Source organism: Homo sapiens, chromosome 14 (genome assembly GCF_000001405.40).
Source record: "Homo sapiens chromosome 14, GRCh38.p14 Primary Assembly".
NCBI classification, from domain to species: Eukaryota; Metazoa; Chordata; class Mammalia; order Primates; family Hominidae; genus Homo; species Homo sapiens.
Window position 1 is genome coordinate 87948986 of NC_000014.9, and position 13591 is coordinate 87962576.

General features: G+C 35.9%; 1 protein-coding gene and 1 pseudogene across 12 annotated transcripts in view, besides 1 other annotated feature; one reads left to right on the plus strand and one right to left on the minus strand.

The window, feature by feature from the left end:
* Positions 1 to 13591, minus strand: part of GALC (galactosylceramidase) — a 60654-nt gene that overhangs the window by 15972 nt on the left and 31091 nt on the right. For all 12 annotated transcript variants that reach the window (NR_187582.1, NM_001424076.1, NM_001201402.2 and 9 more), the window contains 2 exons: positions 1674 to 1763; positions 860 to 946 (listed from right to left, as the gene is read on the minus strand). Coding sequence is in view for 11 of the 12 variants with exons in the window: in NM_001424076.1 (NP_001411005.1) it covers positions 860 to 946; positions 1674 to 1763 (177 nt within the window). In the remaining variant the exon portion in view is untranslated. The remainder of the gene's footprint in view (positions 1 to 859; positions 947 to 1673; positions 1764 to 13591) is intronic.
* SHLD2P2 (shieldin complex subunit 2 pseudogene 2) lies at positions 3541 to 6418 on the plus strand (annotated as a pseudogene).
* Positions 6205 to 6374: an enhancer, noted in NCBI's record as "experimental_38563 CRE fragment used in MPRA reporter constructs". NCBI's record gives its function as "activates a minimal promoter by MPRAs in K562 erythroleukemia cells, with activity observed for both the introgressed and non-introgressed 14:88421619 variant alleles {active_cell/tissue: K562}" and the evidence as "EXISTENCE:reporter gene assay evidence [ECO:0000049][PMID:34662402]".

A 13591-nucleotide genomic window follows, 5' to 3' on the forward strand; every position in this document is an offset into this window, starting at 1 on the left:
CACCTGGGATATAAAGCTAAATAAGGCAAGGCTCAGTCTTCAAGGTGTCCAGTGGTGCAGGAAAAGCATTTAACTAGGTAAGCACATGGCCCTAGGTGAATATGAGCTAAGACTGGTGAGGAAGCGTCAGAGGAAAAGACACTTGAATTGAGTCTCAAAAGATGACAAAGTTGAGGAGAGGCCATTCTAGGTGAAGAACACAGTATGTGCAAAGTCACAGAGGTAAATAAACAGGCATGCTATGCTTTGAAAAATGTAAGTTTAGTATGTGAAGAGAGGCCAGTTTAGTAGGACACATCTCTAGGAAGAAGACCAGTCTTCTACCTTCTGGGAGGATAATGAGGGCCATGTGCTACACTAAGGAATGTTAACTTCTAAGAAAATAATCACTGAGGTCCTCTGAGCACAGTGGTCACAAAAATCAGATCTGCATTTTTGACATTTCACTCTGTAGCAGTGTGATGGGTGACCTGGAAAGTCAGACTGGAAAAACAAGAGGCAGTTTCTGAAATCCAGGAGAGCGATAATGAAGAACTGAAACAAGAAGTAACGGTGGTAATGGAGAATAAGGAGTGAGTAAGAGAAATGTGTGGATACAACTGTCTATACTTGACCACTGGCGGGATACAGAGGGTGAGTGGGAAAGACAGAGAGTCTCAAATGGGACTTAAATTTCCAACCTGGGAAGCCAGGTGATGGCGTCACCATCCACCAAGACAAACTAAATGTCTAAGAGCTAAACACATCTATAAACACACAAACTTATAAAAATAAAAATTCTTAATTAATGACATTTCTGTGCCCTTTTACTGTTTTACTGTTGGAATACCCAAAATATAAGAATTTACTTTAAAATTACCCATAGAGAATCCAGCTGCTTAAAAAGAAATCTTTCGGATGTTTTTCCAAGTTTGGTATACCATACCTGTAGCTCTGGTATTTCACTCTGTAAAGAAAAGACAAAAAAGCATGGCTGAGTAATTCATCACATCCTCTTTGAGGATTTCCAAAATCAGTACCAGCAAGAATGTACCAATGACAATATTATCTCTATTTATCAAGAGAAACACCTCAAATATTAAATAATAATATTTTTAAAAATAGGAAAACACTGTTCAAGCAAATACTTTATTCTCTAAACACTAAAGAATTTTGGCAAATGATAAAAAAATTACAGTGTCTTTGCTTCAAAAACATTCATTACTGTACCTGTGTAATAACTTCTAAATTAAAATAACTTTCTGGTATTAAAAAACAATTCTTATGCCATTAGTAATCAGAAAGGGTACTGCAGTTTGTCAATTCAAACCTAACAATTCACAGAAATAGCAAGTATCTGGTACTTTTAAACAATATTTTTGGCATAGTATACTGTAAATATCAATGCTTGAAAGTTCCCTAGACCATAAAATGCTTCTACCACCAAGAACAACTTTCTTGCAAGTGACTTTTGTAAGTGTTCCTCAAAGTCACAGAGCATTTTACCTCCTACTGGCTTCTGTCCTGCTAGATTAAAGCAAGTCGGAAGACAGAAGACACCAGGGCCTCTGTCAATTCATATGCAAACTGTTAAAAGTTCATAATATAAGGCTTCACTTAAGAACTACTGGCCTGTGACAGAATATATAAATTCTTAAATCAAAACTAAAATAAAGTTAAACATATTTACTTACAAAAGATCCCTTAAGAACAAAGGTGGCAAATTGTTGTGACACATTGAAATAAGGAAGAAATGGCCGTATGCACTTAGAATGTTTATGACTCTGAAAAAAAAAAATCACATACATTATCCAAATGATGTATAAGCTACCTTAGGGGAAAAAAAGTTCAACAGTTAATGCCCAAGATTAACAGAAATTTACATATACTAGATAACAAATATGAGTTTATTTCACATTTTTAAAGACTTTTTTACAATATAATATTTACTGAATGTGTATTGTATGTTCCTAGTCAAATACAAAGGTCAATGGCGTTTCAACTGGATCAAATTTTGAATTCGTAGCTAAACTGTAGAGACATATATGGCATACAGATTAATTTTTTGTTATAACTGTTTTCCAACTAAAATACATCAAATAAAAAGCAAAAGTAAGGATGTTTTCACTGAAAAGACATCTCATCTAAATATAACTTTCGTTCTCATGTAAGAAGTAAAAAATATATATATATATGTATGGGTGTGTGTATATATAGTATATATAGATATCAAATACACACTAAGGTCAGCTAAATATATGTAACATAGTTCTCACATTGCCATCACTGTTTACTAAATAGTCACAACTATGGGCTGGGATCAAAAGAAGTATGAGACATAATCCCTACTTTAAGAGATTCCACAGTCACAGAATACTTATAGTACACAGTTCTATTTCAGGCTTTGCAGACCATTAAAAAATTACTTTCATAATCAGAGATTTCAATATCCATCTCTTAGTAATTGATAGTACAACTAGATGGACAATCAGCAAGGATATAAGAGATTTGAACAACACTACCAAACAACATGCCATCTATAAATGCCTCCATCTAGCAACAGCAGGATGCACATTCTTTTCAAGCGCACATGGAACACTGACCAAACTACACCATACTCTGATCCATAAAGCAAGTCCTCATAAATACAGGAAGATTCAAGTCACACAAAGTACTTTTTTAACCACTATAGAATTAAATCAGAAATGAATAACTGAAAACCTTCTGGAAAAGTCAAAAATATTTACAAACTATCAAATTTCTAAATAATCAATAGATCAAAGGAAAAATAAAAAGAGAAATTAGAATTTTCAGCTTTATGAAAATGAAAACACAACATATCACAATTTGTGGTATGCCACTAAAGCAATACTTAGGAGGACATTTACAGCACTAAATACCTAGATTAGAAACCAAGAAAGGATTTGAGAGTTCAGCTTCTGTCTTGAGATACTAGAAAAATAGGAGCAAATTTTAAAAGATTACAAATTGGGTTCAATGTATACTGCTCGGGGATGGGTGAACCAAAATCTCACAAATCACCACTAAAGAACTTATGTAACCAAATACCACTTGTTCCCCAAAAAACTGTGGAAATAAAATTTTTTTAAAAAGTAAAAATAAAAATAAAGAAAAAACCAAAATAGGCAAAGAAAATAATAATGAGCAAAGAAGAATTAAACAAAAACAAATTTAAAAACCACAAGAAAATAATAAAACCAAAAGCTGATTCTTCGAGAAGATCAATACAGTTGAAAAACTTCTAGCCAGACTAATAAAAAATCAGGTTAAGAGAAAACATACACTTCAACAATAAGAAAGGTGACATTACTAGAGATTAGAGATTTACCTAGGGGGAGAGGCAAGGCATGAAATAGCTTCAAACCTTTTCTTAAAGGAATTGATATTTGACACAGAGCATAGAGAGGTTTAAGACTAATGTTGTTCTAAAAAATAATGGAGGTTTTGGTGAAAAGAAAAAAGAAACCAGTGGCTTCACTATAGGCATAAGCTAAACCACAACCCTGCCTAATATCCTGTTGAGAACCACCCAGCCTAGTATCCTGTTGCTCCACTAAAAATGACAGTATCACAACACACAGTTTCTTTAATGTCCGTTGCTGACCCCCGGAAAAAAATTCAGCTTTTATACAGTCAACATTCTTTATATCTGAAGGATGAAAAACAGCACAAAAATCTTGAAAACTATGAAGTCCCAGAATCTATTGGTCTCCAGATCTTAGTGGTCATTTCTTACTTAGCAAACTGTATGAATAGACATGTTCATGTGAAAGATTACTTTGTACATTCTGTTTCTGAAACACAGAATATAGAATCCCAGAAGATTCACTCCTCTAGACTGAGTGAGGTAACGAGCTCTAATATGCAAATATGTGGATTTGAAAGCATAGTTCTGCATTTAACTGAAAAGTATCAAAAGCTTCTCAGTGAAAATAAAATTATAGATGAACAGCCTAAACATCAGTCAGATATCTGTGGTCAGAACTTTCACTCAAATTTGTTTCAGTTAGACCACAAATGTGCAGCTATGTTGGATTTGGTTTGTAGTACTAAACAAATTAATATAGGGCCTGAAGTGGTACAAAGAGAGTGTGTGCCAACAGAATATCATGAAATACAAAACCAGTGTTTGGGATTATTTTCCTTGAACACAGTAGATAAGCCAAGGTCTGAAGTCTGAAGCAGCAGTTAGGAAGGTCTCAGACCTTAAAATGTCAACTGATACGGAATTTCTCTGTATAATTACCTCCAGCCAGGTTGCTTTTTTAGCTCAAAAGAAAGATAAAGGGCGGAGTCCTATAAATAAAGGGAATGTAAACATGGAGACTGAACCAAAGGCAAGTTACGGGAAGATAAGAATATCTGAAGAGAATTCCATTCAACTTGATGATTTTACAGAAGCATATGAAAGTGGACAAAACCAAGCATATTCTCTTGAACATTTTAGTCCTGTTTTTCCTAAAACAGAAAATAGCCACATTCACATAAACTCTGACAAAGGTCCTGAAGAAAATACAGGATCTCAAGAACTTTTCAGTTCTGAAGATGAACTGCCACCAAATGAGATACGTATTGAGTTGTGTAGCTCAGGAATACTGTGTTCCCAACTAAACACCTTCCACAAAAGTGCTATTAAAAGAAGCTGCACCTCTGAAGATAAAGTGGGCCAGTCTGAAGCTCTATCTAGAGTCCTTCAAGTAGCTAAGAAAATGAAGTTGATTTCTAATGCAGGAGATTCTGTTGTAGAAATGGATCAGAGGAATGTGTCTGAATTTAAGGGTATTAAAAAAAGTCATTAATAAAAAACTGTGATTCTAAAAGCCAGAAGTATGATTGTTTAGTCATGGTGCTATCTCCATGTCATGTGAAGGAAATAAACATAAAATTCGGACCAAATTCTGGCTCTAAAGTGCCTTTAGCAACAGTTACAGTAATTGATCAATCAGAAACTAAGAAGGTTTTTCTGTAGAGGACTGCAGCATTTTGGGCATATACAGTGTTTCTTGGAGATATAATTTTACTCGCAGATGTTGTTATTCATGAGGACCAATGGGTTGGCGAGACAGTACTACAATCAACATTTAGCAGTCAGTTATTAAATCTTGGGAGTTATTCATCTATTCAGCCTGAAGAATATTCCAGTGTAGTTAGTGATGTTGTACTTCAAGACCTACTGGCACAGGTGTCCTCAAAACATTCCTACCTCAGAGATCTTCCTCCGAGGCAGCCTCAGAGGGTGAACAGTATAGACTTTATAGAATTGGAGCACCTTCAGCCTGATGTATTAGTCCACACAATACTAAGAGTTGTTGATTTCACTATACTGACAGAGGCAGTATACAGTTATAGAGGACAGAAGCAGAAAAAGTTATGTTAACAGTGGAACAGGCCCAAGATCAACATTATGTGCTTGTATTATGGAGTCCTGGAGCAGCCTGGTACCCTCAACTGCAAAGGAAAAAAGGTTATATTTGGGAATTTAAATATCTTTTTGTTCAGCGCAATTACACACTAGAAAACCTAAAATCGCATACAATGCCTTGGTCATCCTGTGAGTGCTTGTTTGATGATGATGTAAGGGCAATTACATTTAAAGCAAAATTTCAAAAAAGTGCACCTTCCTTTTGGAAGATATCAGACTTAGCAACCCACCTAGAGGATAAATGTTCAGGAGTGGTTCTAATTAAAGCCCAGATTTCAGAGCTGTCATTTCCTATTACGGCAGCTCAGAAGATAGCTCTAAATGCTCACAGTTCTCTGAAGAGTATTTCTTTTCTTCTCTTCCCAACATCATATATACTGGCTGCGCAAAATATGGATTGGAACTAGAAACAGATAAGAACAGGATCTACAAACAATGTTTTAGCTGCTTGCCATTTACTATGAAGAAAATATACTATAGGCCAGCTTTAATGACTGTAGTTGATGGAAGACATGATGTTTACATCCGTGTAGACTCAAAGCTGATAGAGAAGATTCTTCTCAACATTTTTGCAGACTGCCTCAACAGAGTGATAGTTACTTCCTCAGAGATCACCTATGGGATGGTCATGGCAGACCTGTTACACTCCTTGTCGGCAGTCAGCGCAGAACCTTGTGTATCAAAGATTCAGAGCCTTTTTGTGTTAGATGAAAGCAGCTATCCATTACAACAAGATTTCTCCCTCCTGGATTTTTATCCTGACACTGTAAAGCATGGAGCCGATGCCCTTTTCTGAGGCCAGAGGAAGAAATGGCAGGCATTTCAAGGAAGAAGTACTGAAATGATTTGTCTTTTGAAGTAAATAAACGATAGGGTTTTTGCTTTGGATTTTTTATTAAATACATTTTACAAAGAGAATTTCAATTAAAACTTTTTTCTAAGAAAATCCTGTGAGGTTTAAAAAGATTATTTTTGTTTTTTGGTTTCTTCCTTTCTTCTGGAGAAATGATCTACCAGTCAAGGCAATATGTAGCAGATCCCTGGGAATTAAAGGTTTGCCCATTTGTTCACTGTATTTAGTCCCTGCTACGTTCCAGGCATTGTACTAAGTATGAGGAACCACAGGGAAGACATTCCCTCAGAAACTGCTGCAGTGCTTTTACTTATCCCTACCTAAAAACCGTCAATGTGAAATCATTTCCTTGATTACAACTATACATGATAATGGATTAGTTTATATAAACCTCTGTTTAGACAAGTTCAAGACAAGCGTGTCTTTCTATAAAAAGCATTGAAAACGAAGGAAATGAGATCATGTTTCAATTTATTAAAGCGGGGAAGAGCGTTCTGTGGTTAGTTCGTGTCTAGGATTTGAGTGCCTTACTGAATGTATTTAGCAAACATGTAGCAATCTGTTCTCTCACTGTGATTGTAGAAGAAGCTCATGTAAAATGATAGTCATTAATGAGGAAGTATAGAGTGGTACTTATTCTGTAAGTTCAGAGTATGCCGAGTATTAATAGATTATCATACTGCCTGAAAATAAATTTATGATGAAATGAAAAAAAAAAGTGACAGTTTAAAAAAAAAAATCTCCTGTGGTCAGAAGAAAACTAAAACACTAACTTCAAACCACCCCTGAAAATGAGCTGGAATTTAATTGGATCAGTCTTTGGAACAATTTAAGTCCCCAGGGCATTGTTTAAAACAATACAGAAATCCACCAGCAATTAGTGTAACTTACAGTGAGGTGTGATCAAGGAACCAGACAGAGTCCTGGAAAAACAAATCCCAGGGTGACTGTGGATATGCCCAAAACCACATTCTCCAAGGAGCAACATTTCAGGCTTTACAGTGTGTGGAGGGGAAGAAGGAGGGAACAGAGTTAACTAAAATACTCCAGCAAATCACTAAGTAAATAAATAAACAACAACAAGCCTCAAGGGGGAGAGGATCAATGCCCAGAGTTGATAGCATATATTATATACGAGTTGCTACCATATATTATATATAAGGTCCAGTTTCCAACAACACACACAAAAAATGAGACATTCAAAGAAATAGGCATTATTTCATTCTTTCTATGCTGAAGAGTATTTCATGATGTGTGTGTGTATATGTATATACATACACCATATATATATACACGCACCATATATATATATATACACACACACCATATATATACACACACACACACACACACACACACACCATATATATATGGTATATATATATTTCCTTTATCCACTCATCAGTTGATGGGCACTTAGGTTGATTCCATATGTTTCAATTGTGAATTGTGCTACATAAACATATGTGTGCAGGTGACTTTCTGATACAGTGACTTCTTTTCTTTTGGGTAGATATCCAGTAGTAGGATTGCAGGAATGAATGGCAGATCAATCAATTTAGTTCTTTGATAAATCTCCACATTGTTTTCCATATAGGTTGTACTAACTTCATTCTCACCAGCAGTGGATAAGCATTCTCTTTTCACCACATGTATGCCAACATCTATTGTTTTTTGATGTTTCTTAATGGCCATTCTGGCTGGAGTAAGGTGGTATCTCGTTGTGGTTCTAATTTGCATTTCTCTGATGATTAGTGATGTTGAGCATTTTTTTTAACTGTTTTTCTGGCTATAGACATATCTTCTTTTAAGAAATGTCTATTCATGTCACCTGCCACTTTTTAATGGGATTTGTGTTTTTCTTGCTGGTTTGAGTTCCTTATAGATTCTGGATGCTAGTCTTTTGTCAGATGCATAATTTGTAAATGTCTTCTCCCATTCTGTGGGTTGTCTGTTTACTCCAATGATTCTTTGCTTTGCAGAAGCTTTTTAGTTTAATTAGGTCCCATTTATTTATTTTGGTTTTGTTGCATTTGCTTTTGGGGTCTTAGTTATAAATTATTTGCCTAGGCCAATGTACAGAAGAATTTTTCCTAGATTTTCTTCTAGAATTTTTATGGTTTCAGGTCTTAGATTGAAGCCTTTAATCCATCTTGAGTTAATTTCTGTATACGGTGAGGTGAGAGGTAGGGATGCAGTTTCATTATTCTATATGTTGCTATCCAATTTTCCCAGAACCATTTATTAAATAGGATGTCCTTTCCCCAAATTTATATTTTTGAATGCTTTGTCAAAGATCAGTTGGTTTTAAGTATTTGGCTTTATTTTTGGGTTCTGTATTCTGCTCTGTTGATACATGACTGCTAGATCTGATAAATGAATTCAGTAAAGTTTCAAGTTACAAAATCAATGTACACAAATAATGTATATAAATCAGCAGCACTGCTATATACCAATAATGACAAAACTGAGAATCAAACCAATAACTCAATCTCTTTTAGAATAGCTACAAAAATATATAAGAATATACTTAACCAAGAACCAATAGTTCTAAAAGGAGAACTATTATACAAAACATGGCTGAAAGAAATAATAGATGATGCAAACACATGGAAATACATCCCATGCTCATGGATTGGAAGAATCAATATTGTGAAAATGAGACCACAATGCCCAAAGCAATCTACATATTCAGTGTAATTCCTATCAAAATACCAACATCATCTTTCACAGAATTAGAAAAAACAATCCTAAAATTCATATGGAACCAAAAAAGAGTCCAAACAGCCAAAGCAATCCTAAACAAAAAGAACAATCTGGAGGTATCACATTATCTAACTTCAAATTATACTACAAGGCTATAGTAACCAAAACAGCATGTTACTGGTTTAAAAACATATAAATTTATGTATAAAGTAACAATGTCCTATTGAGTTCGCAGCACGCAGTGTTGTGACATGTGTGCTAATAATAGAACAAAAGGAGAAAGGGAACAGAGCAACAAGGGAATTCAGCATAATCTACTGTAATTCGGTTAGTTTAAATCTGAAGTGAGTCCAATAAGTTAAGATGTATATGGTAAGCCCCAGAATAATCACTAAAAAAAACTCACAAAAATATAGTGAATAATTAATATTGTTAACACAGCCATATTACCCAAAGCAATCTACAGATTTAATGCAATCTGTATCAAAATGCCAAGGACATTCTTCACATAAATAGAAAACACAACCATAAAATTTATATAGGAACACAAAAGACCACAAACAGTCAATGCAACCCTGAGCAAAAAGAACAAAGCTGAAGGCATCACACTACCTGACTTCAACATATACTAAAAGGCTATAGTAACGATTAATAAAACAGCATGGTTTTGTCTAAAAGCAGGCACACAGACCAATGGAACAGAATAGAAAGTCCAGAAATAAATTCATGCCCTATGACCAACTAATTTTCAACAAAGGTGCCAAGAACACGCTAGGAAAAAGGACAGTCTCTTCCATAAACAGCACTGGGAAAAATGGATAGCCCCATGCAGAAGAACGAAACTGGACTCCTGTCTCTCACAATATACACAGTCAACTCAAAATTGATTACATACTTAAATATAAAACCTGAAACTATAAAACTAGAAAAAAAACAAAGGGAAAGTGCTTTATGACAATGAGCTGGGCAAGAATTTTTTAAATAAGACCTCAAAAGCACAGACAACGCAAAAATAGACAAAGGGGATGACATCAGACTGAAAAGCTTTTGCACAGCAAAAGAAACAAAGTAAAACAGCCTACAAAATGGGAGGAAATATTTGCAAATTATACATGAGACAAGGGGTTAATATCTAGACTATGTAAAGAACTTAAACAACGACAACAAAATAGCCCAGTTTAAAATTGGGCAAAAGACTGTAATAGACATTTCTCAGAAGAAGACATACAAATGGCCAATGGGTACATGAAAAAATACTCAACATCACTAATCATCAGGGAAATGCAAATCAAAACCACAATGGGATATCACTTCCCTCTACTTAGAATGGCTATTACCAAAAAAACAAAAGAAAACAAGTGTTGGTGAGGATGTGGAAAAAAAGAAATACTTACTTCATGTTGTTAGGGTTGTAAATTGGTACAGCCACTATAAAAAACAGTGTGGAGATTCCTAAAAAATTAAAAATAGGCGGGGCACGTGGTGGCTCACGCCCATAATCCCAGCATTTTGGGAGGCTGAGGCGGGCAGATCACTTGAGGTCAGGAGTTTGAGACCAGCCTGGCCAACACGGTGAAACCCCGTCTCTACTAAAAATACAAAAATGAGCCAGGTGTGGTGGCAGACGCCTGTAATCCCAGCCACTTGGGAGGCTGAGGCAGAAGAATCACTTGAACCCAGGAGGCAGAGGTTGCAGTGAGCCAAGATTGCACCACTGTACTCCAGCCTGGAAGTGCAGAGTAAGATTCTGCCTCAAAAAAAAAAAAAAAAATTAAAAGTAGAACTACCATATGATCCAGTAATCCCACTACTGTGTATATATCCCCCCAAAATAAAATATATATGTTAAAGAGGTATCTGCACTCCCATGTTTATTAAAACACTATTTACAATAGCCAAGATATGGAATCAACCTGAGTGTTCAACAATGAATGCATGAATAAAGAAAATGTGATATATATATACACAATGGAGTACTATTAGTCATAGAATGAAATCCTGATATTTGCAACAAATGGAGGAATATGGAGGATATGATGTTAAGTGAAATAAGCCAGACACAATAAGACAAATACCTCATGATCACACTTACATGTAGAATTAAAAAAAAAGAAGAGTTGATATCACAGATGCAGAAAGTAGAACAGTGGTTACCAGACACTGGGGTGGGGCTGGGAAGGGAAGGACAGGAAGAGGTCGGTCAACGGGTACAAAGTAACTATTGGACAGGAGGTGTAAGTTGATATCACAGATGCAGAGAGTAGAACAGTGGTTACCAGACACTAGGGTGGGGCTGGGAAGGGAAGGACAGGAAGAGGTCGGTCAACAGGTACAAAGTAACTATTGGACAGGAGGTGTAAGTTCTGGTGTTTTCTTGCACACTAGGGTGAAGACGGTTAACAGTAAGGTTTTGTGTATTACAAAACAGCTAGAAGAGAGGCTTTTGAATGCTTTCATCACAAAGGAATGATAAATTCATGAGGTGATGGGCATACCCTGATTTGACCATTATACCACATGTATGTATCAAAACATCAAATTGTACCCTGTGTCAATAAAAAATAAAAATATGACAAAGTTGAAATACTCACATTTCCTCACTTCAAAATTTATCAGACAGCTACAGTACCTAAGACAGTGTGGTGCTCACGTCAGGACAGATATATAAGTCAACAGAAAAAAATTGAGGTTCTAGAAATAAACCCTCAAATTTATTGCCAATTGATTTTCAACAAGGATGCCAAGACAATTCAATGAAAAAGGAATAGTCTTTTCAAAAAATAGTGCAGGGACAACTGGATATTAAAATGCAAGAGAATCAAGTTGGACACACATATAACCCCAGTTAAGAAAGAAAATGGACCAAAAACCTAAATTTAAGATTTAAAACTCTAAAACTCTTAAAGGAATACATAAATATAAATCTTCAGAACCTTGAATTAGGCAATAGCTTCTTAGATATGACACCAAAAGCACAAGAAACAAAAGAGAAAACAAAGTGGGCTTCATCACAATTTAAAACTTTTTTTAATTCAAAGGGTACCATTAAGAAAATGAAAGACAACCCATACAAAGGGAGAAAATATCTGCAAATTATATTTCTGATAAGGAATTTTTATATAGAACAAAGAACACTTATGACTCAATAATAAAAACACAAATATCCCAATTTAAAAATGGGCAGAGTTTAAATAGACATTTCTCCAAAGAAGATATACTACTAGCCAATAAGCACATGAAAAGATCCCCACATCATTAGTCCCTAGGAAAATGCATATTGAACTACAATAACATAGCACTTCACATTCACTAGGATGGCTATAATCAAAGGCATGGACAGTAAGAACTGTTAGGGAGGATGTGGAGAATTGTAAGTTTCATAAAACTGCTGGTGGCAATGTAAAATGGTGCAGTAACTTTGGAAAACAATTTGGTAGTTCCTCAAAATCCTAAAGACAGAGTTACCATGTGACCCAGCAATTCCACTCCTACATACATACCCAAGAGAACTGAAAACACGTTCACAGAAAAACTTGTACACATATGCTAATCCACACCATTAGTCATAACAGCCATGATGGGGTTCAAGACACACTCCCCGCAAATATTTTAAAGTGAAATAATTTGAGAAAAATGTAGAAGCAGGAAGTTTACTCTCTGACCTTCTCCTTTCTCCTCTGAAGCAGGTCATAAGACCCTCACTCAACAGGTGCTCTCCCTATTTTCCTTATCTCTGAAGACAGTTTCTGGTGAAGAAGATGAGATGCCTACTCACTCTAAGAGCCTGCAGATGAGATCCTGAGACACTGACAAAAAGGTGGCAGAAAGGTTAAGAATTCTCACCAAGGCCTGCTCTTCTGGATCTCTGCCTGAAGTACCCGATCGAGAGAAGACAATTAAACAAACAAACAAACAAACAAAAACCTCCTCATCCCTTCCTCTCCAAATGCAGATTCGCAGAAGAAAAACATTCGTTTGGTTTGTGATTCCTGTATAAATTTAGTTTTGGGTGCTCATTACCTGTAGATCCCTTCCTTCCCAGGGTCAGCTATTGCTTTCCTATTTGTCTCATTTTGTGTACTGAGAACCTGGCTTGACTTCCCACCTGTTAGGGATGTGTGAGCTGTCAGTTTTGTGTATGCAGGCAGCCAACTTCAAGTTGGGGGCCCCAAGAATATAACCAGACAAAAATGTGATTCGCACCCTATTTGCAGCCAGTTTACCAACTATCGCCAGCTCTGACAGGGAGTGGGGAGTAGGGAGGTTATCTGGGTCTTTCTTTTGACTATCCTTGGGAGTGGTTCTAGGTCTTTGGAGGATCACTTCTCAACCTTTTGACTACGATGAAGTGTAGATTCTGGGAGGGCTGCATCTTTTTACACCCTCTTTTGAGGATCCTCTTCATCCACGATAAGACATAAAAGGCTTATTGGTTTGTGTTGTGAGTCACTTAATAGACACCTTTGGTTTGAAAAGGTCAATACTGCCAGGAATATTTACTGTTTGTCCTGGCTCAAACCTGATAGTAGGATATTTGAAAGAATTTGTTTTTTAAGAGTCTATGGTCAGGAGTTGGCCAAACTGTAGGCTGACATTCAGAACCTGATATG